General features: G+C 55.0%; 1 protein-coding gene across 1 annotated transcript in view, besides 4 other annotated features; it reads right to left on the bottom strand.

The window, feature by feature from the left end:
• Nucleotides 1–11,751, bottom strand: part of MYT1 (myelin transcription factor 1) — a 77,802-nt gene extending 66,051 nt beyond the window's left edge. The window contains exon 1 of the mRNA NM_004535.3: nt 11,464–11,751. The gene's annotated coding sequence lies outside the window, so the exon portion shown is untranslated. The remainder of the gene's footprint in view (nt 1–11,463) is intronic.
• Nucleotides 13,393–14,873: an enhancer, noted in NCBI's record as "VISTA enhancer hs2609". NCBI's record gives its function as "enhancer in: hindbrain (rhombencephalon)[2/4] | midbrain (mesencephalon)[2/4] | forebrain[2/4]" and the evidence as "EXISTENCE:transgenic organism evidence [ECO:0001131][PMID:17130149]".
• Nucleotides 16,784–17,504: an enhancer, noted in NCBI's record as "H3K4me1 hESC enhancer chr20:62790052-62790772 (GRCh37/hg19 assembly coordinates)". NCBI's record gives its function as "activates a minimal SCP1, AML or CMV promoter by ChIP-STARR-seq in naive H9 embryonic stem cells {active_cell/tissue: H9 hESC(naive)}" and the evidence as "EXISTENCE:reporter gene assay evidence [ECO:0000049][PMID:30033119]".
• Nucleotides 23,408–24,607: an enhancer, noted in NCBI's record as "CDK7 strongly-dependent group 2 enhancer chr20:62782949-62784148 (GRCh37/hg19 assembly coordinates)". NCBI's record gives its function as "activates an origin of replication core promoter dependent on BRD2, BRD4, P300/CBP, MED14 and CDK7 cofactors, with strong dependence on CDK7, by STARR-seq in HCT116 cells {active_cell/tissue: HCT116}" and the evidence as "EXISTENCE:reporter gene assay evidence [ECO:0000049][PMID:35650434]".
• Nucleotides 24,608–25,287: an enhancer, noted in NCBI's record as "H3K4me1 hESC enhancer chr20:62782269-62782948 (GRCh37/hg19 assembly coordinates)". NCBI's record gives its function as "activates a minimal SCP1, AML or CMV promoter by ChIP-STARR-seq in primed H9 embryonic stem cells {active_cell/tissue: H9 hESC(primed)}" and the evidence as "EXISTENCE:reporter gene assay evidence [ECO:0000049][PMID:30033119]".

Here is a 25,440-nt window from a genome sequence, read left to right as displayed (position 1 = left end):
ACAACTACAGGGAAAGATGCTACAGGAGAAGCCAGGGAGGGGAAATGGACACAACTACAGGGAAAGATGCTGCAGGAGAAGCCAGGGAGGGGAAATGGACACAACTACAGGGAAAGATGCTGCAGGAGGAGACGCCAGGGAGGGGGAATGGACACAACTACAGGGAAAGATGCTACAGGAGAAGCCAGGGAGGGGAAATGGACACAACTACAGGGAAAGATGCTGCAGGAGAAGCCAGGGAGGGGAAATGGACACAACTAGGAAAGATGCTGCAGGAGAAGCCAGGGAGGGGAAATGGACACAACTACAGGGAAAGATGCTACAGGAGAAGCCAGGGAGGGGAAATGGACACAACTACAGGGAAAGATGCTGCAGGAGAAGCCAGGGAGGGGAAATGGACACAACTACAGGGAAAGATGCTGCAGGAGAAGCCAGGGAGGGGAAATGGACACAACTAGGAAAGATGCTACAGGAGAAGCCAGGGAGGGGAAATGGACACAACTAGGAAAGATGCTACAGGAGAAGCCAGGGAGGGGGAATGGACACAACTACAGGGAAAGATGCTGCAGGAGGAGAAGCCAGGGAGGGGAAATGGACACAACTAGGAAAGATGCTACAGGAGAAGCCAGGGAGGGGAAATGGACACAACTACAGGGAAAGATGCTGCAGGAGGAGACGCCAGGGAGGGGAAATGGACACAACTACAGGGAAAGATGCTGCAGGAGGAGAAGTCAGGGAGGGGGAATGGACACAACTACAGGGAAAGATGCTACAGGAGAAGCCAGGGAGGGGAAATGGACACAACTACAGGGAAAGATGCTGCAGGAGAAGCCAGGGAGGGGAAATGGACACAACTAGGAAAGATGCTACAGGAGAAGCCAGGGAGGGGAAATGGACACAACTACAGGGAAAGATGCTGCAGGAGAAGCCAGGGAGGGGAAATGGACACAACTACAGGGAAAGATGCTGCAGGAGAAGCCAGGGAGGGGGAATGGACACAACTACAGGGAAAGATGCTGCAGGAGGAGACGCCAGGGAGGGGGAATGGACACAACTACAGGGAAAGATGCTACAGGAGAAGCCAGGGAGGGGAAATGGACACAACTACAGGGAAAGATGCTGCAGGAGAAGCCAGGGAGGGGAAATGGACACAACTACAGGGAAAGATGCTACAGGAGAAGCCAGGGAGGGGAAATGGACACAACTACAGGGAAAGATGCTGCAGGAGAAGCCAGGGAGGGGAAATGGACACAACTACAGGGAAAGATGCTGCAGGAGAAGCCAGGGAGGGGAAATGGACACAACTACAGGGAAAGATGCTACAGGAGAAGCCAGGGAGGGGAAATGGACACAACTACAGGGAAAGATGCTGCAGGAGAAGCCAGGGAGGGGAAATGGACACAACTACAGGGAAAGATGCTGCAGGAGAAGCCAGGGAGGGGAAATGGACACAACTAGGAAAGATGCTACAGGAGAAGCCAGGGAGGGGAAATGGACACAACTAGGAAAGATGCTACAGGAGAAGCCAGGGAGGGGGAATGGACACAACTACAGGGAAAGATGCTGCAGGAGGAGAAGCCAGGGAGGGGAAATGGACACAACTAGGAAAGATGCTACAGGAGAAGCCAGGGAGGGGAAATGGACACAACTACAGGGAAAGATGCTGCAGGAGGAGACGCCAGGGAGGGGAAATGGACACAACTACAGGGAAAGATGCTGCAGGAGGAGAAGTCAGGGAGGGGGAATGGACACAACTACAGGGAAAGATGCTACAGGAGAAGCCAGGGAGGGGAAATGGACACAACTACAGGGAAAGATGCTGCAGGAGAAGCCAGGGAGGGGAAATGGACACAACTACAGGGAAAGATGCTGCAGGAGAAGCCAGGGAGGGGAAATGGACACAACTACAGGGAAAGATGCTGCAGGAGAAGCCAGGGAGGGGAAATGGACACAACTAGGAAAGATGCTACAGGAGAAGCCAGGGAGGGGAAATGGACACAACTAGGAAAGATGCTACAGGAGAAGCCAGGGAGGGGGAATGGACACAACTACAGGGAAAGATGCTGCAGGAGGAGAAGCCAGGGAGGGGAAATGGACACAACTAGGAAAGATGCTACAGGAGAAGCCAGGGAGGGGAAATGGACACAACTACAGGGAAAGATGCTGCAGGAGAAGCCAGGGAGGGGAAATGGACACAACTAGGAAAGATGCTACAGGAGAAGCCAGGGAGGGGGAATGGACACAACTACAGGGAAAGATGCTACAGGAGAAGCCAGGGAGGGGAAATGGACACAACTACAGGGAAAGATGCTGCAGGAGAAGCCAGGGAGGGGAAATGGACACAACTACAGGGAAAGATGCTGCAGGAGAAGCCAGGGAGGGGAAATGGACACAACTACAGGGAAAGATGCTGCAGGAGAAGCCAGGGAGGGGAAATGGACACAACTACAGGGAAGGATGCTGCAGGAGGAGAAGTCAGGGAGGGGAAATGGACACAACTACAAGGAAAGATGCTGCAGGAGGAGAAGCCAGGGAGGGGAAATGGACACAACTACAAGGAAAGATGCTGCAGGAGGAGAAGTCAGGGAGGGGAAATGGACACAACTAGGAAAGATGCTGCAGGAGGAGAAGTCAGGGAGGGGAAATGGACACAACTAAAGGGAAGGATGCTGCAGGAGGAGAAGTCAGGGAGGGGAAATGGACACAACTAAAGGGAAGGATGCTGCAGGAGGAGAAGTCAGGGAGGGGAAATGGACACAACTACAGGCACTGGGGTATGGGCTCCCTCCTGCTCCCCTGACCATCTCTACTGACTAGGCCAGGCCACAGGCTGGGGAGAAGCCCACAAAAGACACCCACTCTATCAGCCGCACCTGTCCAACAGCCCACCTCTGTCTGTGACTGCTGCCTCCGAGGGCTGCTTGAGGCCTGACCCTCCCACGGTGCTCAGGAGGGGAGGGAAATTGGCCAGGCTGACCCATGGGCCTTGCCTCACTGGGCCACCATCAGAGACACTTTTTCCAATCAGGCACAACTGGACTCGCCTGCCTGAATCCTGGGGTATGGGAAGGGGTAGAACACAGAGAACACAAAGGCAATAAGAAGGGGCTGTGATGGAAACAGGCCTGGTCCAACAGGTATTCCAGATGCAAGATAAGAATTAAGAGGGTATGAGGCCAGGAATGGTGGCTCAAGCCTGTAATCCTAACACTTTGGGAGGCCGAGGTGGGTGGATCACTTGAGGGCAGGAGTTAAAGACCAGCCTGACCAACATGGTGAAACCCTGTCTCTACTAAAGATACAAAAATTAGCCAGGTGTGGTGGCACATGCAGGAGGCCGAGGCAGGAGAATTGCTGAACCCAGTAGGCGGAGGTTGCAGTGAGCCAAGATCACGCCACTGCACTCCAGCCTGGGCAACAGAGTGAGACTCCATCTTCAAAAAAAAAAAAAAAAAAAAAAAGAGGGTATGGCCAGAGCCAGCAGCACTGGGTTTGGGGGCGTCTTCCCCATGGATCTTTGGGAACTCCCCAGAAGACACGTCGGCTTCGCGGGATCAAGAGGTCCTGCTCTGGAATTCTGCTCCAGCATTTTCGTTCCTTGGTCCCAGAAATTTTTCTTAGAACCGTTCAGCTTTCCAGCCCAAAAAGAAAGGAAATGGCCATCTCCTTCTGCCTTAAAACCACATTTTACTGAGGCCTTGAAGACAAAATTCCACTAGGAGGGGCATCTCACATTCCCTTTAGGGTCAGGATGAGCCCACACGCTGGCTCATCCCCAGTTCAGAAGGGAGAGAGCTCGAGGGAAGATCCCCAGGCCTCAAAGCCCTTGGGGATTTTGGCTTTCACAACAGTTCTGTTTTCCTTCTCCAATCCCAGGCTCTCCAACTGCAGGACCCCTGCCCAAATCCCTGCTTGGGTAGGGTAAGCCCAGGCAGCTGCTCTCTGATGGGTCCAACTGCAGCCCTAGCTCCAGGGCTCAGAGCAGCCCCCTCTGCTGCTCTACAGGCTTAGAAAAATTGTGGGGGGCGGGGGGATGTGTATGGTAATTTCCCAGCCTGGATGGACAGTGGTCAGTACACGAGAGCCAACACAGAACACATTTGGGGAAAACACAAACGCTTTACCCACACCAGAGGTGGCCTGGCCTCTGGGTGACTGGGCAGGAAGTGGGTGGCCAGTAGGAGGGGCTGGCAGGGGGAGAGCTCACCAGGTCCAGGGTCCCAAGGCCATCAGAGGGCTCTCCAGGAAGAGGAATTGGACTCTAACTCTTATATTGAAGTGGGTTTGGGTTCCTCCAGATGCCAGAGGTGTAGGGGGTTAGGGTTTGGGTTCCTCCAGATGCCAGAGGTGTAGGGGGTTAGGGTTTGGGTTCCTCCAGATGCCAGAGGTTAGGGGTTAGGGTTTGGCTTCCTCCAGATGCCAGAGGTTAGGGGTTAGGGTTTGGGTTCCTCCAGATGCCAGAGGTGTAGGGAGTTAGGGTTTGGGTTCCTCCAGATGCCAGAGGTTAGGGGTTAGGGTTTGGGTTCCTCCAGATGCCAGAGGTGTAGGGAGTTAGGGTTTGGGTTCCTCCAGATGCCAGAGGTTAGGGGTTAGGGTTTGGGTTCCTCCAGATGCCAGAGGATAGGGGTCAGCCAAGGACAAAGGCTCAGACCCTGGGGATGAAGGGAGCTCCACATCCAGCAGCAGGTTCTGACTTAGAAGCCGCATGTGCGATTTGCAGCCAGACAAAGCCCAGGCCACCGGTGTGGGTGACACTCCACAGGGAAGAGGTGCAGGGCCCAGAGTCCTGGAACGGATTCCCCGAGACAGGCTCCAGGCAGCCTTCTAGGGATTGCTTCCCTGAATGCCATTCAGTAACAAATCCCTTTGTTTTCCCTATCTGGCTGATGCACCTAGGAAGCAGACTCCTTACAGGACTTACCGCTGGATGAGGGAAGGCAGCAAGCTTGCAGCACGTCATAACTCTTAAAAATTGGGTAAATTTGGCCGGGCACAGTGGCTCACACCTGTAATACCAGCACTTTGGGAGGCGGAGGCAGGCAGATCACCTGAGGTCAGGAGTTCAAGACCAGCCTCGCCAACATGGCAAAACCCCATCTCTGTTAAAAAAAAAAAAAATACAAAAATTAGCCAGACTTGGTGGCACGCATCTGCAGTCCCAGCTACTTGGGAGACTGAGGCAGACGGAATTGCTTGAACCCGGAGGCGGAGGTTGCAGCCAAGAAGGCGCCACTGCACTCCAGCCAGGCCAACAGAGCAAGACTCCGTCTCTCTCTCTCTCTCTCTCTCTCTCTCTCTCTCTCTCTCTCTCTCTCTCTATATATATATATATATATATATATATATATATATATGACCAATTTGTCTATCTGTGTCATGGGGAGAGAATGAATGCCTCACAGCCAACCCACTTTGACGCATCGGTGACATGGCTGGGTCACGGCTCACCGAGGCTAAGGTTGGGCACAGCCTTCGTGGAAATAAAATGAGGAAGCACAAAACTCTAAATAAGCCAGCCAAAACAAAATCAGACCACTTAAAAAAAAATGACTGTAAGAGGTACCTCTTTAATGTGCAGTAATAGTCTAACATTTTATCTAGGCGGACTTGATCTCAAATAACCAGAAGGCAGGGCTCAACCTCAAGAAGGAACAGAGTGGAGGAATAATTCAGAACTGCTCAACTGAGCATTTAAGTAGCTTTTCTTCCCAACACAAGTGTCCTTCCAACCTCAAAGCTAAAATGTGGATCCTTCCCTGGTCCAGACTTGCAGTGCCCCATTGGGTCCAGCAGCCCCTTGACTTGGGATGCTTTCCTCAGGCCCAGCAGCCCCCAGAGCTGGTTGCCTGCAGGCTCTCCCGGAAAGCAAGCAGGGATACCCATCAGTCTGATGCAATGTCACAGCAGAGACATTGCATCCCGAGAGCGGGATTTCAAATGTGAGACACGTGAGAGTAAAGGTAAGTAAAGGAGGGCCCGGGGTGGCATCTGTAAGAAGCCTTGAAAGAGAAGCAAAAATTCAGCTGCAGGAGATGAAGGGAGATAGGGAGGCATGTTTGGGAATCGTGGGTAACAACCCAGTTTGGGACGGAGAATAAGGTTGGAGGGTATGCTGGGGACAGGCTCTAGATATGTCCCAGGCTGTGAGGAAGAGACACGAGGGCAGTGAGGGTCATACTGTGGCCTGCGGGCAGCCTCCATGGCAGCCTGGGGCACTCGGCAGGAAGGCTGGGTGGGGCTGGGTGGGACTGTGAGGGAGGCTGTGCTGGAAAGATCTTAGATTCGAGCTACACCACTCACCTGGGAAGCTAATTTGCCTCCCAGCCTCAGTGTCCAGTACAGAACACGTTCATGAGAACTGAACAAGTTAGCACGGTCTCAACGATTAAAATAACAGCGTCAAACGTGTTTCTCTGCCCCTTACGACCTAAGTCAGATTTTTTGTTCCATTCGAAGATTAAGGCCCAGTCTCAATGAAAATAATGTTAACCATAGTAAGTCGTCCCAATTTCAAATCTCTGTTTTTCCCTAAACAAAACTTTGGTAAGGGCAGGGTGAGCACAATCCCACATGCTGACGAGCGACTGACAACCAAGTATTCAGTCAGCAGTAACTGGGAGGCTGCTCTGAACCATCCCCGGGCTCCCTGGGACGGCAGTTATCCTGGGAAACTCAGAGCCAAGAGGGAACTTGTCCCCCAGCTCTAAGTCTTGTAAAGAATGGGCAGCACCTTCAGTTAGGAGCCACTTTGGCTGCCCACAGAGCAGGACTGCTAAAGCCATTTGATTTTCAGAACCCAAAAACCCTGTAGGTGTAAAGACCCAAGCGCTTTGACAAGCTAGCTCAGCGAGGCGCACACCGGGATTGGGGACGCGCCTCGGGTCTGTGGCTCTGGCTCACTGGGAGGCCACCCCAGGCACCTGCTGCTGTCAGTTTGCGGTCCGAGAGTCTCAGGGACCTTCTAGGGCCTTCTAAAGCAGGCCTTGGTGCACCATGGAGCATCCAAACTCCCACTCTCCTCCCACTCAGGCAGGACAGGTCAGCCACTGGCAGCTCTGTGGGTCCCTGAGGGAGACATGGAGGGTCCCCCAGGACCAGGTGAGAGGCTCCAACCGCCTTGACCCAGGGCCCCCTCTTCTCACGCTCCTCCTCTGATGTGTGGATTGCAGGCAGCAAAATGGAAAAAAAGAAGAGGACCCAGATGGCTTCTGCCCCAGCCCTCAGACCAGTGTTGAACACGATGGAGGTGTGAAGCCAGGCGTGAGAGAGAGGTGGGGCCAGCAGGCTCATCTGTCAGCAGCTCAGGCCATATGGTGCCTCCACCTTTCCTCCCGAGCATCCAGATCCCCAGTGCTCACCCCCACCTTGCCTGGCCACCCTGACTCCTGCAGAGCGCTGCAGCCTACTTCCTGAGGACCATCCAACCTGCACCCTCCTGGCACAGGCCGTGCTCCCAGGCCACAGTCCCAAATAAACCCCAAGGCACAGGGAACATATCCAATCAACTCCAAGCAACCCCAGGGCAAACCACACACTCAGTTGCCAGAGCACAAAGTCACTCTCTTGAAGGTTGGGGCTGCTGAGTGGAGGCTTCCGGTGCTGCAGGACAAGGGGTGGCAGGAGGACCACAGACACCCACAGCTGTGTCGACATCCTCTCTCCTCTGCAAGGCCTGGACTCCAATCCTGGCCAAGGCAGATGTACTCAGCCAGGGCAGATTAAAGCACGCTGAGTTACTTTCGTTCCCGATTAAAATAACATTGCATTTTTAAGTGCAAATTGTAAAATAAAAAAAAGGATGAAGTGATGGGTGAAACCAATCTTCCCACAAGGAACGCTCCTAATGGCATTAACCCTGGGGAGAAAAGACTCCACACTTGTATCTGGTTAGTTCCAGTAACACTGAAGAGAAACAGGAAGACATTTTCAAACTACACTTTCCACTTGCAAGTATCCATTAATCTCTTCTCTCTGAAGCTGGCTCCGTGGAAGCCTGAGATCAAAAACATTTTAATTCCGGTGAAATTCCTCTTGCTCATTTTTGTTTTGAGTTTTTTAAAGTGATGTTTGGGGAAATTTGGTCTGAAAGACAGAAAAATGCCGGGAACCTCAAGAGGCCGTGAAAGCACATTCCACCCCCCAGGCCTCCAGCAGACACTCCGGGCTGGGCAGTGGGCTCCCCAGTGGGGCTGTCCTGGAGCGGGGATGGGTCCCGCAGTCCCCAAAGAGCAGGAAGCCCACGGGGGAGCAGCACGGCAGCCACTGCTCTCTTCCCTTCTGGGAAACACGGCGTTTCTCGGTCTGACTAATCTAATGATGCTGGTTCCCAAAGACCATTTTCCTGTAAACTCACACCACAACATTCCTGTTAAAATTACATCTGTAGACAACTAACTTCTGGTTTATTCATGAGGGAGTTCACACGGAAAATGCAGAGGGGGAGGATCTAAGATGAGGAAGATGGGAGAGAGGAAGAAAGAGAAGAGCCCCCCCAGCCCCTGCGGGCACCCTGCTCCACTCTCCCGCCCAGGTTCCTACAAGAGAACAGGCAACAAAAGAGGGGCTCTGAGATGTGTCTTCCAGCATTGGGACAGGCAGAGCATCCACTCTTCAAGATGCCTGAGTAACATGAAAGTCTGGCTGACCGTCCAGTACCCTGCCTGCTCGCAGATCAGGTGACCGCCAGCAGCCCCCACCCACCCCACAGCTAACCTCCTGACCCCTGTTCCACCAGCTGGGTCAGTTCTCTACCTCCTCATCTACTCCAGGCCCGGTGCTGACCAAAGTGTTCTGGTTGTTCCCGGTCTCATCCCCACCCTGAGCCCCGACAGAGGGACTGGGTGGACACAAGCCTTGCTCAGTCTTTTCCAAAGTAGACGCACCTTTTGCACTGAGTCCGTCCAGGAAGAGCTCAGCCCCCACCAGCCCGCCCACTGCCACCGAGCAGCGGCTGGAGGCCCCGGGTTTCTCTCTGGCACTTTGTCAGTCTTCAGGAACCTCTCCTGCTCTCTCTGCACAGTACTGGGTTGTGCAAACTGGCATTCCAAGCGGCCCAGACATCACCAGACTGAGCAGCACCAGGAAGACAGTTAGTCAGGCTCTGACCCCTGTCTCCCCAGTGCAGAGTGGTGTGGGTCTCCTCTACCCACCACACCACCACAAATGTCATTGTCTGCACATTCAGTGACCCCAGGCCAGAGAGGAAGGGAGTGAGTCTCTGAGCAGCACCAGGGAGAGCGCCCACCACATCCACAGCAGGGACAGGCCAAGCTCCAGCCACCATCCAGGCTGCCGTTGGTCAGCTGCCAGAGCTGCCCAGCATGCACCCCCGTGGCCGCATACCCTCTGCCAGCCTCTCCCTGACATCTCCGGCACTAACAGAGCTTCCAAGTAGAGGCTGCTGCAACCCCCAGACCAGAGCAACTTTGCATCCCACATGGCTAGAAGGGGTCATCTCAGAGAGTGTTTCCCCACTCATGCACCAGGGGCATTCAAGGGAGTAGGTGACCACTGCCTTTGCCAGAATCTTCCAAGAGGGGCCAGAGCATTAGCTCTGAACAACTGAGGCTACCTCCAGATCTGTGGGCAATGGCTGAGGGTCACAAAAACCCTCGAGTGGCACTTTGGACAGAAGCAGCCCCCCTGCCTCGGGTCTCTGAAGAGGGCTACCAGGCCCTCTTCAGGGATTCATGGCCCAAGGAGGTCAGAGCCGAGGCTGTTCCAGAGCAGAAAGGCCTCTTTGTCCAACTCTCTGTGGCTCCTGCTCAAGCTCCTGGATCAGCAAGTACCCCTGGGAAGTTCGGCAAACGTCCAGGTGCCCAGGGGGTCGGGGGGACCCTGTAGGAGTCTCAGTCTCTACGGGACAGAAGAATCCATAAGACTGCCTCCTTCTCTTTGAAAACAAACTGCCCTCTAAGCCCTGACCCAGCCTCCTCTGCACAAGGAACAGCTACCGAGGGAGACAGGGCAGGGTCCTGCCTCTACTGATAGCAGCACCCTGGCTGGTACCACAGGACTCCAATCCCTGCTCTCTTACTCTTTTGTTTACCGTTAATTAACAGGGCCATATGGAAGGAGGCGATAATCACAGCCAAGGACCAATGGGAGGGGAGCCCGGGGTGGCAGGGAGGCTGGGGGCCGAGGGGAGCCTCCCTCAGTCAGCCCTGTAGAGGATACAGCACCCCCACTCCCCAGGCCAGAGTGAGGCCAGGACAGGCTCTGCTGGCACCTCAGAGGAGACAGAGGCAGAGCATACCCCTCAGCACCGAGTGGGCCCCCCCAGGTCTGCCCCACATCCCTCCCACCTTTTGTGCACTCAGCCACTGGCGTTAGAGGTGTCCTCAGTTTTCTGTGATTTAAAAGAAAAAAAAAAACTGCAAGGGCAAAATTCTCCACCGACCTCTCCCAAAAGGATAATTATAATCATCGCTGCCATTATCATCATCGTGACAGAGTCCATGCCCAGGACCAAACCCACCTGCAGCCACGGAACCCCCCGCACCACCGCAAATGTTTGGTTTCCAAAATTAAACACCCAACTTTACCAGCCAATGGTGTCCACTGATTCAAAGGTGATGCTGAGACAAGCAAAGCCCTTGGTGACTCAGGAGGAGCAGTGAGAACCCACCACTCCAACACAAAGCCACCAGCACTTGTTTATTTTCCTGGTTTATAGAGAAGAAAGTGAATTCAATAGACAGAACCAAAGTCCACGGCCCCAGAACTACAGACAATGGCATTAGGGTGTTCAACTTCTTAGCTAACCCTGATTTTTAGTTTTAAATACAAAAATCCAGTTACACTACCACCATAAACAACCACACTCCACAGCTGCACGGACACGTAGCGAAAAAAGGGGCTGAGAGGAGCGGCCGATATTTACTTCTGCACATCTATCCCACAGACGCATGCACCCTAGATATTGATCCTTAAGTTGAGAAATGCATGACATGCAGACAAAACGTTCACGTGAGCACCTCTCCTCAGTACCTTGGGTGGGGGTCACACATGACACACCCCAGACTCTGAGACCCTGCTTCAGAGAGGTCTTCTGCTTAAGCGGCCAGTGCTCTCCCCAGGTACGGGGCTGCTGGGTCCCACGGCCACAGACATATCCGTTGTTCCTCTTCCAGAAATGCGCATAAAGTTTCTGGTTTTGATATGCGCTCCCCTTCCCCTAATGTCTCCTCTGTCAGACGCACAACATGTCCCCTGGAATCTCAGAGGAGCATGAACAACAGAGAGACAGGAGAAAAACAGCACACGGCAGGCCAGGGAGGAGAAGAAAGCCCCCGTCCTCCAGAGCAGTTTCAAAAAGCCATCCTCAGACCTGCTTTTCCTGCAAACAGAGCCTTCATCTTAGAAATTAACTCTGCCCGCGCGCCCTCTCCCTGTCTCTGTCCAAGAGGAAAAGCCAAGCGTTGGGTATCTGCCTTTGTCAGAAAGAACGTAACGTTGACTTACCTTTCCCCACAGCTATTGTCTGTCCTCTTTCAAAATGACATCACGGAAAGCAATCATGAAATTTACATGGGGGGTGCAGGGTGGACTGGGGGAGGAGAGGGAAGGCAGCTGCCTCCCGTACAGCGGTCACATGTGGGGAAGCCTGCGTGCGGGTTTCAATTAAATATCTTCTCCCCTTAGTGTGCGAACTCCTAAGCCAGCTAAAGGCGACGTCTCATTTACTTAATGACTGCTCTCATTAGCAGCGGTGGCACGGGCTGGCGGAGGAGGCTCCTTTGTAAATACGCTACCCATGAACCCTTGGGGCTCCAATATATCTGTTTACTCTCTGAGGTGAAATAAATTTACAGTATAGCATCAGAAAGATGGATCTGCTGAATTGGGGGTGAGAGGTGTCCCAGTCCGGTGGAGTCCTGTGTCCTGCTCTGAGCCTCGGCCAACAGAAGGTGCCTATGTTTGTCCACACTGATTCATACTCAATGTGCAGCATGATTGAGTTTTTTTAAAAAGCAAAACACACAAAAGGGCAGAGAGCATCACAACCACCACATTCACCCCCCTCTGCTTTCTCTGCCAGTGGTTCAGTCCAATAATTCCTAATAGCAGCAACCGGAATGACAGATGCCCCGGGTTAGCATGGCTACAGCGAAAGTACTTTACAATATTTATTGGTGGTGAGGAATATGATCTACCATCATAAAGAGCGGGCTGCAGAATTTATTACTCAAATGAACCAGGAATATTACATATCGGCTCATCTGCATATTCAAGTACCCCTGACTTAAATGGATATGTATTTTTTAACGGCATAAAAGGTAACTATAGCCACAGACCAAAAAATAGAGTCATGCACACAAAGAATAGATCAGGAAAAGACATTTTTCTGTTCTCACACTTTCCCTTTTCACTTTAATTTTTACAATAATAAAAACCTTCCCAAAGAGAACTCAGGGATTCCTGGGCATGGGAACCCCCCCACAAAAAGACTAAGTTTATTGCAACCAGAGCGAAGCACACTGCCCAAGTTTTCTGCTCTTTTCCTGATTCTTTTATAAACGGCCTGAAAGGAGCTATCCAGTGAAAATCAAGAAGAGAAAAATCCATAACACACACAATAGAAGTGCTCACCCACTCTCTATGCAGCCTGACTGTCTGCCTTCTCATCTGCCAGTTTGTGATATTTTCCCCCACATTCAGGGATAAAGTGGGAATTTCTTCAGTAAGAGAACTCAAGAGCCAGAGTATTCTTGTTTGCGGCCCAAATCTCCTTCTTGTACTGATAAATCAGGCAAACGATTGTCCATTATCATAATCAGGATGTTAGAAATGAAACTGTGAAACACAAGGGTGAAAACTCAATGTGAGACGCCTGCAAAGATGCCGCCGTCCAAGGGCAGCTGGAGAAGCAGAAAACTCACATCTCAGAAGTTCAGTGCAGAGATTTCAACAGACAGTAAACATCATTTCTTGGTAAATTATGCAAGAGCACAATACCCCAACTTAATTAGCGCTAAAGGGCTCGGGCCACCAAAAGTGTGACTGAGGCAGAACTGAACACAGCTTTCTCTAAGAGAGCATGTTTTGAAAATCTTAGTGGCTTATTTTTAACATACAGTTTGTGCTTTACACGTTACATACAAACCAAAAGCTTCACCCCAAAGGCAAGTATCTTAGATTCTTATACGCACACATTATCCTCAACAAATAAAACACAAAATGCACACAGAGCAATTGTTCAGATTGAGCACAAGGACATAAATGCAAGCCTGCACTGGTCAAACTGAGGATGAAATATTAATTAGTCAAATGAGAACAGTTCGAGGTTTCCACAATGACTGCCTACCATTTTTAATTTCTGTCATAAACTTATATCCATTAGTATAAAAGGACACATTCAGCTGAGAGCACTCCTGAAAAGCCGTTTCTGTCTCCTCTGGACATGCTGTGAGTGCTAGGATGTCTTACACCCCAAACCTTCGGCATTCAGAAATTCTATTAAACTCTTATCGGCAGGCTGCAGGCTCCGGGCAGGCTTGCGGGCCATTGTTCCATGATGAATACAGAATCAAAGGGAGGGCCGTTGCTGAATCAGCCTTATTTCCCAACGACACCCAAGGTTTCATGAAAGCGACTTAATTCAGATATGCAACAGTCACACCTAAGAAACCACAGCGAAGCGGAGGTGGCAGCAGGAGAGATGAACCTGCGCAACACGGGCTTCGTGGGGCACAACAGTTTTTTCAGGTAATAGAAATTGTATTTGTGAAAACGTAAGTCTTTCGGCATTTCTCACTTCCCCTTTTGAACAATCACAGGCCTCCTGAGGTGTGGCGCTCCGGGGGTCGGGAATGGGCCCCCAGACCCTCTGTGGCGCTGCCAGGAGGAGCATTCAGAATGTGCCTGGAAACTTGAAATCGGTGCCTGCTGGCAGGACCTAGGGCGCCCTGGGAGCTCCCACCGGGAGGTTAAAGTGCTATGAGCAGTTTCCGAAGATGAGCTTTGATGAGTAAAGGTTCGAAGTCTTTAGCTGACCCCGTCAAGACAAAGGAGTCCAGGGAAAAGAGCAGGACAGAAGAGCGGCCGCCGGCACGTCTCTCCGGTTCGGCTGCCGCCCTTCAGCCCCTGGGAGGCGGCCTGAGCGGTGGGTGGATCCGAAGTCTGATCAGCACTTCGGACAGCGCTCTCCCCCCAGAGCGCCTCAGTCTTTGTTCTCCGCACACGGAAGCTTCTGAGCTCGCACCAGTATTCAGCTATCGCTGAACTCTGGGCTCCGGGCTGAGACAGAGAATTCCAAACCCCAACAGATCCCTGCTTGTAAGTGACAACAGCAAGGTATAGTCTTAAGCTTCCTTTCTTAGAGAGGGTGAAAATTTGTCAGGACTTTTTGAAATCATAAAATATTTTCTCTTCCATAACTGAGCATGTTGCACGCTGTTCCTTTGGGTTTTATTTCATAAAAGTCTGTGGGAAAGTCACATGTGACTTTTTAATAATATGTTTGGAAAGATCCACCAGGAAATAACTCCTGTCTGACTGGCGGGTCCTCAGACTCCACACGGGGAGGGAAACGGGAGATTTGCAAAACCAAACTTACGCCGCAGCCGCACTCGCTGAGAAAGCGCTTTGTGTGAGTGGGGGAGCAGGCTTAATGATCGCTTAGCTGGTAAGATCATTTCAAATAAAGTGTAATTACTTGTGCAAATCTGCACACAGACATTCCAAGTGTCAGTTCATTTGCTTCATAAAAACTCTTTCAAGTAATTTTGGTCTAAACTTTCTGCATCTGTAATTGGCACCACCTTCTCCGGTGACCAGCTGGGGGTGAGGGTTTTCTTGTTTCCTTCTGAAAGCTTCCCCGCAGATGGGCGCCTGCCTTAATGCTGCAGACGACAATTAGGGCCGTTGTGTGAGGCCGAGATGGTGAGCATTAATATTGTATAGAACAGCTGAGGGCGGGGGTGCTGCCCCAGGCCGGCCCTGGCAGATGGAGCAAACAAAACCGGGATCCACTCTCCGCCACACTCGGGGCTGACTTTGTGTTTCTGTCTCACACTCACGCAGACGCTCACAAACATTTGGCATCCAGTTTGTGAGACCCTCACATACATATGCACACTCACACACGTGCACTCACACACACAGCAACTTTGAGTGTGATGAGGACGCAAGCAGCAGCGGCCCTGGCCAAAGCCCCTTAGCTACAGTTAAGTCCCAGGGGACATCTGTCGCGCGCACGCGCGCGCGCACACACATTCTCTCTGCCACCTTCTCACAGAGTCTCACAGAGCCTTGCTCCAGGCCAAGGGCTCCTGACACCCACCAGCTATATGGCCTGCCAGGCAGATCCAGGCAGGTAAATCAACAGAAAGAAGGCCCAGCTGGCCTCTGCACACACCCTGCCCACCGCCCTCCCACCTCCAACCTTCTGCAGGGCAGCGTTCACAGGGCTCTGTGCCGTCAGCACTTCTGCAAGCCACGGGATCCGCTAGAAGGGGAGGTGGCTGTTTCCCCAGGGGCCCTGGCCATTGTTCAGGAGGGAGCATGTCTGTCACCTCCTTGGCTGCCCAGAAAAGAGCACTGAGCTCTGAGGGGGGGACACACACAGCTAATTAGTCCCTTTGGCATCTTCGCAGAAACTTGTGAACAGACCAGGGAGGGACGCGAGGGGCTGGGGGTGGTACGCACCCAGGAAGGTCCCGCAGAGCGTCATCCTGGCCAGGGGGTGCACCTTCTCTCTGGGAACACACGTCACTTCATGCTGGAAAAAGTTGCTGCACAAACTTGTGTCCCAGGGCCCTGGGGAGACCCCACTGCATCCAGCCAATCAAGACCAGGGAGCAGATAATCACAAATTGATGCCCCGGCTGCCTGCCAATGAGGCTCTCTTCTCCACACAATGGGCTCAGGCCCCAGACAATCTCTCCCCCACCCCGCAGGGCCAGGGAAGGGGAGTGAGGGGAGGCAGAGACACAGCCCTTCCCACACAGTAATGGACTCACAGTGAGTGAGGGGAGGGGGCCCTTCCTGAAGATGCATCCCTTCCCCCGCTTCCTCTCTCGGAACTGCCACACTAGGTCCAGCCTGAAACCTGGTGGGGAACCAGCCAGGATGCATGAGTGGGGTCAGGTCTCGCTCCCTACAACCCAATCACTGCCTGTTGAGACAAGGCCCCTGAGGGCCCTCAGCTGGTGTGGTTGACTCCCCACCACCAGATCCCAGGCACAAGGTATGGTGGGAGGTGCCAGGGGGAGGCAAACTGTAGAAGTCAAGAATCCCTCGACAACCTCAGGCCCTGCAGGCAGAGGGTGGGGTGTGCAGGAAGGAAAGGGCAGGGAGAGAGGGCTGCCCAGAAGGACCTGGACCTTCCAGCAGCTACAGCCGCGCCAGGGCCAGGGAGGGGCAGGGTGTGTGGATGGGAGTGAAGGTGGGCACTGCAGAGGCCTCTTCCAGAATGATTCCTAGTCCCTCGAACTGGGCCCACGACCTTTCACTGCCCACAGGGGCCCTTTGAAACGATGAACTTGGCCTCACCATGGAGCCCGGCTGTCCTCTGGGCCAGCTTCCCCTGATGCCGAGGGAAGCTCCCATCACCCCAGGCAGCTCAGGGTCACCTCCTGGTCCTCAGGTTCTGCAGGTGTCTGTCCCTGCAGGGGACAGGTGGAGGCCCAGGTGATGCTGGCTTACCTCTACCAACACGTGGCCAAGTCCAGGCTAGTCTCTCCCATCCAGGGCAGCACTGAGGGGGAGGCCCGGAGTATGGAGGGTTCAAACCTTTGGAGGAGGCAGATCTGGACTGACCCCTGACCGGCCCCTCCCAGCTGGGTGACCAAGAGCAAAATGTTTAACATTTACATCTTCAGTGAGGTCTATGGTGAGTGCTACTGGGCGGCAATAGACGGTAAAGGGTGTCCCAAGAGAAGTGACGAATTGCATTCGAGTTGGGACACCCCCTCAGGAATGAATCGGGTTGCTGAGGGTCTGGATGTGGTAGGGACAGAGAGGCCACAGGAGACTCCAGGGCTGGCCAGAGCCATGAGGTGGGCGGCAGCACCCCCTGAGAGGGAGACGCTGAAGGAGGGCAGATTTGTGGGAGTTGCTGGCTCTGCTGGGATGTCTGAGCGCCTGTTAGTCACCAGGTGACACCGTCAACAAGGGTGACAGTATGGAGGCTGAGGCTGGGGGCAGAGATTAGGCTGGAAATAAATGGTGAGTCATCTTGTTTAGAGGAGAGAACATCGAGGGGTGAAGGTGCTCAGAGGCTGGTGAGCGTGCAGGAGAAGCAGGAGGAAGCAGGTGGGTGCAGGGGGGACAAGTGGGAGGCCAAGAGGGGCAGGTAGGGGTGGGGAGACAGGTGGGGCAGGTGGAGGTAGGAGGGGGGAGGGGGGACATGTGGGGGGCAAAAGAGGGGCAGGTTGGAGGCAGGGGAGACAGGTAGGACAGGTGGGGCCAGGAGGGGCATATGGCAGTGGTGAGACAGGTGGAGCAAGTAGGGGGAGGGGAGGGGATGGGGTCAGGAAGGTAGAAGAGGGGCGGGGTCAGGTGGGGCAGGTGGTGGCAGGGACCAGTGGGGCAGGTGGGGGACACAGACAGGTTGGGCAGGTGAGGACAGGGGCAGGTGGGGCAGGTGGGGACAGGGACAGGTGGGGCAGGTCGGGGAAAGGGGTAGGTGGGGCAGGTGGTGGCAGGGGCCAGTGGAGCAGGTGGGGGACACAGACAAGTGGGGCAGGTGGGGGACACAGACAAGTGGGGCAGGTGGAGCAGGTGGGGGACACAGGTGGGGCATGTGGGGCAGGTAGGGGAAAGGGGTAGGTGGGGCAGGTGGTGGCAGGGACCAGAGGGGCAGGTGGGGGACACAGACAGGTTGGGCAGGTGGGGACAGGGGCAGGTGGGACAGGTGAGGACAGGGGCAGGTGGGGCAGGTGGGGATGGGGCAGGTGGAGACAAAGACAGGTGGGGACAGGGACAGGTGGGATGGAGCAGGTGGGGCAGGTGAGGACAGGGGCAGGTGGGGGACAGGAACAGGTGAGGACATGAACAGGTGGGCAGGACAAGGATAGGCAGGGACAGGGGCAGGTGGGGGCAGGGGTAGGTGGGGCAGGTGAGGACAGGGACAAGTGGGGCAGGTAGGGACAGGAACAGGTGGGGACAGGGGCAGGTGGGGCAGGTTGGGCACAGGGATGGGTGGGGCAGGTGGGGCAGGTGGGGACAGGATGGGGACAGGGGCAGATGGGAAAGGTGGGGACAGGAGCAGGTGGGGACGGGGACAGGTGGGGCAGGTTGGGGACAGGGACAGGTGGGGACAGGGGCAGGTGGGGGCAGCTGGCCACAGCAGATGCTGTGTGGAAGAAGGGTTTTCCCCTGTGAGTTCTGCCTCTTCTCCTCGTCCACAAGGACGTCTGTGCTTAGGGGAAGTGACCTGGGGCAGATTGCCAAACCTTTCTGTGACTCAGTTTCCCGATCTATCAAATGAGGGCAACAGAAATGTCAGAAAGTGCCAGCAGGGGTTGGTGCTGATCCATCTGCCCGCCCATCACGGAGACACCCCTCGCAGTAGCCAGGGGGCTCCTCCCAACACCACAGCTATCAAATGCAGTTTGCAGTTCCAACTTGCTCCACCTGACTGGGACTCCCTACCCTTGGGGAAAATATGTTCTTCGGATGGAGTTAATTAAGACTGATTATTTAAAGGAACAATGGTGAGAAATCCAGGAAAAGCTTGTGCTGCTGCCTTTCGGTAGAACCAACCAGCCTGGTAATCCATCACGTGATGAAACGACTTGGACACGTTCAGAATCAGGAAAGACAGGGCCAGCGCTCCTCTCTGAAGTTCTGCTCGAGAAAGGCCCTCCAGCTCCCCCACCCCAACTCAACACGTGCTCAGGGGGCCAGCTCCAGGGGAACCTGGCCAGGCTGAGTCAGAACTCACCAGGTTGACCGTGGATGCATTAGGGTTTGAGGGGCATTTGCCATAGGCCATGCGGCCCAGCCTCACCCCACAGCCGGGAGAGTCCAGCCCCGTGTGTGGGATGCAGCTCTGGCTATTGAAGGTGGCAATACCTCAGCCTCCCTCAGGGCTGCGTGTAGCCACTGTACCTCCCTGCCCTCAACAGGAAGCCGGGCTGCAGCTGACCCAAGGGAAGCCGTCTGGACATCACCCACCATAGCTGGGTTCCCAGCACTCAGCGCCACCTGGGCTGACGTGATATGTCCGGACACATCCCGGGCTCCAGAGGTCACAGGCTGCTGGTCATCGCTGTCTAGGCTGGCACTGGTTTCTGCTTTAGTAGGGCACCCAATACAGGGGCACCTATGAAGCCCCTCTGGTCTGCCCATACGGCTCCTCTGCCTGCTCTGCCCTGACCCAGGGCCATGACCTTGGAAGGCGGCATCCTAGGGGGTTGGCTGGGCTGTGGGGATGCTGAAACAGCAGAGTGACCTGGAGGACAGAAGCTGCTCAGAGGACCCAGGTCACCAGGCCCTCAAGCCTCTGAGGGGGCCAGCCCAAGGGTCCTGGGGATCTGTGCATCTCACAGCAGCCTCAGCAACAGCCCAGCCCAGGAGACAAAGGATGTGGGGACAGAGGAAAGACAGAGGAGAGACAGCTGAGGGCTGGGGGCACCGGCAGGAGAAGGCAAAGTCACCGTGACTGCTGTGGCACCAGAGGAGACAGCTCCCTGCAGCAGGGGCAGCCTAGGCCAGGCCTCAGGAAGAACTGGAAGCAGCTGCAGAGGGGCTTCCTTCCCATCCCCCTGGAAGTCAGACTGGTGTCAACGCTCTGTGGAGCTCAGAGGGGCCTGCAGGGCAGGGTCAGCTGAACAAGGCTGCAAGCTCAGCCATGCGTGGTTTGGGGAAGCCAGGAGGCTCCATGCTGAGCCCAGGATGCTGCATCTGTCCAGCCCTGTGGAGAGAGAGACAGAAGCTCCTGACAGGGAGGCCTGACCAGGAAAGGGTGAGGGCACAGCATGAGTGAAGGCCGCAGGGCGGGAAACGGAAGCACATTCAATGAACAGCGGGACTGGGCTCAGAGGGAGGAGCTCAGAGTGAAGGGCTTGGAGAGTAAGAAGCTCAGGCTGAAGGCACTACCCTGGGCACTGGGCCCAGGAAGCTAAGAGCAGTACGAGAAAGTACCCCCGCCCCCCCACCCGCCTCATGACCTGGCCACCCTGAGGCAGAGGAAAGTGGGGAGGAGAGACAGGTGCGCCCAGAGTGGACCAGGAGAACAGTGAGGGACAGGCCCCTGCCTGACTGTTCTAGGAGCATCCAAGAGGGTGAGGCAGGGGTGGAAACCCCCTGATGTCCTGGTCCTACCAGCACAGAACGATAGCCAAAGGCAAAAAGCAGCTGAACCAGTAGGAGAGATACGAGCTGGAGACAAAGGCCAAAGAAACAGAGGCAATGGCCAGGGAGGGGGTCCAGGGACCAGGGTCAAGGCGATTAAACACAGAGACGGACACAGACAGGGGCAGGAAAGGAGACAAAGGATGGAGAGGGAGAGGTGGCCCACAGGCAGAGAGGTGAGGCAGAAACCAGGCCGGCTCAGACACACAGATGGACAGAGAGGTGAGGAACACAGAGAAAGAGAGGAGGACACAGACTGGCCGACCACCAGGGTGCCCAGGAACCGGCTCGGTGACAGCAGGAAAAGGGAGCAGCCGGTGGGGCACCCTGACTGTCCCTGTCATCACCTTCCACCCTGCAGGGGTCACACCACATCAGCATGTGCATGTGCGTGTGTGTGCCTGAGTGTGTGCACAGACACGTGTGAGGACAGAGGGCCCAGCGCCTTGCCCTGCTCCAGGCTCTGTTTAAATGGCTTTGGAATTGTGCTCCCAGAACAGATGGCCTCGGAGATAAAGCTACCGGGTGCCTGGACAGAGAGCGAGGCTGCGGGCGGTTGCCATGGCAGGCTGGACTGGTGAAGATCGCTCATTAGCAGACAGAGCAGGGCTCACAAATGTCAAGATGGGCTCATGGGGAGGGGCACCCCCAGCAGAGCCCCGGGAGGGAAAGTCTCTGGACTGAATGTCCGGGCCCTGCATTCCCAAGAATGGAGCTTGGTGGAACCGGTAGGCACTGGCCAGCTGCTGACTGATGTCCAAGGATGACAGCCACGCTGGCCTGGCCATGTTGGGAGAAACACCCCTCCAGTCTCTGTCCCAAGATGCCCAAGCTGGAGCCTGAGACACACTGACCCTGGGATGGTTCCAGCCATGCCCCACATGGGAGATCAAGAGCCAGTTCGAGGCCAACACCACACTCTGGGATGACAGGATGGCTTCCTGAGTGAGGCAGTCCCCATCCTCACATGCAGCACTCTGGGGAGGGGTGGGAGCCGACCACAGGGGCTCTACAGCCTGTGCCCAAGGCCCTCCCATCCCAGCTGGGAGCCCAGAGAGGGAAGGGGCAGCTGGAGCCCTGGACAGGGTCTAGGAGACAGATCCCAGAGCGAGATCCCCCATCATTCCAACAAGCACACCCTGAGCACCTCCATGGCCAAACCCCACTGAGGAAGCCAGGTTGGATGTCCCCACTGCCACTCAAGCTATGGGTCCAGCCCCTGAGGAGGAGGAACGAGGATGCTCCTATTGGTGCCGGGCACAGGGCAGCTTCATCCTTTAGTCCCCTGAGGGTCCACAATGTTGTTCCCAACTTGTAGGTGGGCTCAGAAGGGTCGAGGGCCCGCAGCTCCCAGACAAAGCTGGGACTGACGCCCTGGACCGTCTGGCACCAAAGGCTGGATCTGAGCCAAAGAAGGGCCTCACTGGTGCCTTCCTCAAATGAGAGCTCAGGAGGGACAGACCCAGGGCCAGAGGGGTCCCCTGCTAGGCTTCAAAGGGAGGCAGAGCCAGGACAGGAGGTTTCTGCCCTGGAGTGAGCAGGAGGCATGCGGAGGTCCAGGAGCAGAGCCGGGGCACGCGGCGTGGGGTCCAGGAGCAGAGCCAGGGCACACGGCGTGGGGTCCAGGAGCAGAGCCGGGGCACGCGGCGTGGGGTCCAGGAGCAGAGCCGGGGCACACAGTGTTGGGGCAGCTGGGATGGCACAGGGGACCCTGGGCAGGTGCCTAAAGGGCACACCCACCAGAACAACAGGGAACACGGGCCATGGAGCCTGGAAGGCCTGGGACTGCCCAACAAGCCCATGTGCCTGCACCCGACCAGGAGCTCTGCCTAGAGCCCCAGAACCTTCCCCAGGACCCCAGCCTAATATACCCTCCAGATAACCCCACCTTCCCAGGCCAGAGCAGCGTGGGCCCTCCAAATCCAAGAGCCCCGGGAGGCCCTTCCATCCACCACACACAACAGACCCTACACACACCCCACAAATGCACAGACACACAGACATACAGACATACACACCATATACACACCACACACACATACACACATACCACATACACACAACAGACCCCACACACACACCCCACACATGCAGGCACACACACAGACATACACACCATATAGACACCACACACACACACAGACACACACAAACACACACACACCACATACCTCAGACCCCACAGACCCACAGACACACACACCACACACAGACATACACACAATATACACACCACACACACACACAGACACACACATACACACACCACATACATCAAACAGACCCCACAGACCCACAGACACACACACACACCACACACAGACATACACACCATATACATACCACACACACACAGACACACAAATACACGCACACCTCAAACACACCACACACATACACACAACACAAACACACATACACACCATATACACATCACACGCATATATACAGACACACAAACACACTACATAAACACACACACTGCACATACACACATGCAGTGTTTGTGCAGTGGATCTGCAGAGACCCGCCGGGATGACACCGCCTCCTCTGCCAGCACACACAGGCCATCAGTTCCTCCTCATATGAGGCCCCAAGCCCCGCACAGCCCAGTTATGACCAGGAACTAAGGCTCAGACAGCGACTAAACCGAGCAAGGTGTGAGCCCCAAGGAGGCGGCAGGGGAGCGCAGCCGTGTTCTGAGTGGCCATTGTCCCACCACCTGTGCCAAGAGCCACTGGCCCTCTCGGGCGTGGGTTTGCTGGCCCTGCCCCAACACTTCAGCTGCAAGGGCACCTGTATGCAAATGCCACCAAGGGCACAGGGGGAGGGGGCTGCCCAGGCCAGAGCATGCAGGGTGCTGGGAGAAAGGCAGAGGAGGTGACCTGGGGTGACAGCTGTGTGCTTGGGGTTGGGAGGACACAGGTCCCCCCCCCACCCCAAGGGATAAGCAAGATCATGAGAGGAGGGGTGTGAGCCCCACCCCGAGCCTGGGAGCCCGAGGCACCGGCTCTAAAGAAGGGGCTGTCAGGCTGGGTATGGTGGCTCACGCCTGTAATCGCAGCACTTTGGGAGGCCAAGGCGGGCGGATCACAAGGTCAGGAGTTCAAGACCATCCTGGCAAACATGGTGAAACCCTGTATCTACTAATAATATAAAAACTAGGACATGGCATTGTGCATCTGTAGTCCCAGCTACTCGGGAGGCTGAGGCAGGAGAATTGCTTGAACCCGGGAGGCAGAGGCTGCAGTGAGCCGAGATCACACCACTGCATTCAAGCCTGGGCAACAGAGTGAAATTCGATCTCAAAAAAAAAAAAAGGAAAAAGAAGATGAGGCTGTCCCACCTGAGGAACAGGGTGCTTGGAGCACGGGCCTGCCTGGGCCCAGGCACATCAGTCTCTGTATGAAGCAGGTGCGCTGACCCCTCCTCTCATCCAGCTGCAAAGTCTGCTTGGAAACCCTGCCTTGGACCCTCTGAGTCTGCAGGAAGCCGTCCCGCCTGGCAGTCCCGGCAGGAGGAAGTACCCTTACACACTGGGATGATTCCAGTGAATCATCACCGTGCCTCACAGGAAGACTGAATTTACTTGTTTTACAGGATCAAAGAAATGATAGATCTTTTCTGAGGGCCATGACAGCATGGCTGAGTCAGGAACGGGGCCTCAGTGGGGCCACGTCACTGGTACACAAAGTCCCAGGCCCCGACCTGCAGCAGCCAACACAGACTTGGAGGCTCAAAGACCAGTAGATGTCCGACAGCACCACATGAAGAACCGACGGGCAAGAGCTTCCAACAGAGACCCACGTGACAGGCAATGTGTGCACACCAGGTACACAGCGGACCAAACACACACACACAAGCCCTGAGACCACACAAAGCCCGTGGGTCAGATTCAAGGTAGCTGAGACCCAGCTGGACCACCGAGATGTGTACCCATCCTGCACCCTCGCTGCAGCCACAAGCTCGTCTTGGGCTCCCCTCAACCTACCTGACTGATGAGGACCAGAAACGCGGGAACATTCTGCCACCGGTTTCCAAATCACAGACGATCCCAGACATTCCACTGGCTCCAAGTTAATGAAGCAGCTTGCAAACTCCTGCTACTCCGCCGTCTCCCTTTGTGCAAATGCGTTCATCAGCCCCATGCTTGCAAAAAGCTGATCTCTTCTAGTGCCACACAAAAGCCAGATGCAAATGGAAACCTGCAGGAGGGAGACTTGTCTGTAATTTGTGCTTTTAGGTTGGAATTGCCACCTCTGTTTCTGACTTCAGTGCCTCTGACCCGGGCCTGGAAAGATGAGGAGTGGGAACCTCCTGGCAGCCAAGAGCATCCTGTGGACAAAGGAGACAGGGGAACGCAGGAGCCAAACGCACACCCACACTTTGTCCTGAGGTTGGAGGGCGGCTGGGGAGGGCTGTGTACCTCTGGAAGATACAAAGGATACACAGCCGATGTTCTCTTCTGAACCCATCCTCTGCCCAGGACAAGTTGACCTGGGCACTCCTGATGCCACCACTGAGAACCTTGAGGACCTCGTGCTCCTCTGCGCCCCGCTCCCTGCCAGGAGCCCCCCAGGCCTCCTCCACACAGATACTCCTGTGTTTCAACACCCACAACGAGGCTGGTCCTGACTGACCTCCTCCAAGTCCCACTCATCTCAGGACCTTTGGATGGCCCTGACACAGCACTCAGCACCCTTGACTTTGCCAGAAAGCTCAAAGAGGTGAGCCGTCTCTTCCACTGGGATATAAGCTCCCCGAGAGTTCCTGGCACACTGACATTGCTCCTTAAATACCTGAATGGTCCAGCTAGTCTCCTGAGTTCTCCACAGGGAAGACCAAGTCACATCCTGTTCAGGGCTCTCCAACACCACCCATGAAGGCCTGATCCCCACTCTTCTTGGGGCCTAGGCCCAGATGTCTAGACTGAGCTTTTCTCATCAAGCACCAGCCTCACGACCCTGTCCTTGCCTCTGTGTACCCAGCCTGACCTAGTCCCTGCAGTTCCTGTACTGACACCCTCCCCTTCCCTTAGCCAGACCCCTAGGTGTGCACCTCTTCTCTGAGAGGTCACACTGATCATCCAGACACTCCAGTCTTAGGACCTCAGGACTAGTCCGCCCATCACTGACCACC

This window comes from Homo sapiens, chromosome 20 (assembly GCF_000001405.40).
Source record: "Homo sapiens chromosome 20, GRCh38.p14 Primary Assembly".
Classification (NCBI taxonomy): Eukaryota; Metazoa; Chordata; class Mammalia; order Primates; family Hominidae; genus Homo; species Homo sapiens.
Note: the sequence above shows the minus strand (reverse complement) of the source record. Positions and strands in the feature narration are given on the sequence as shown.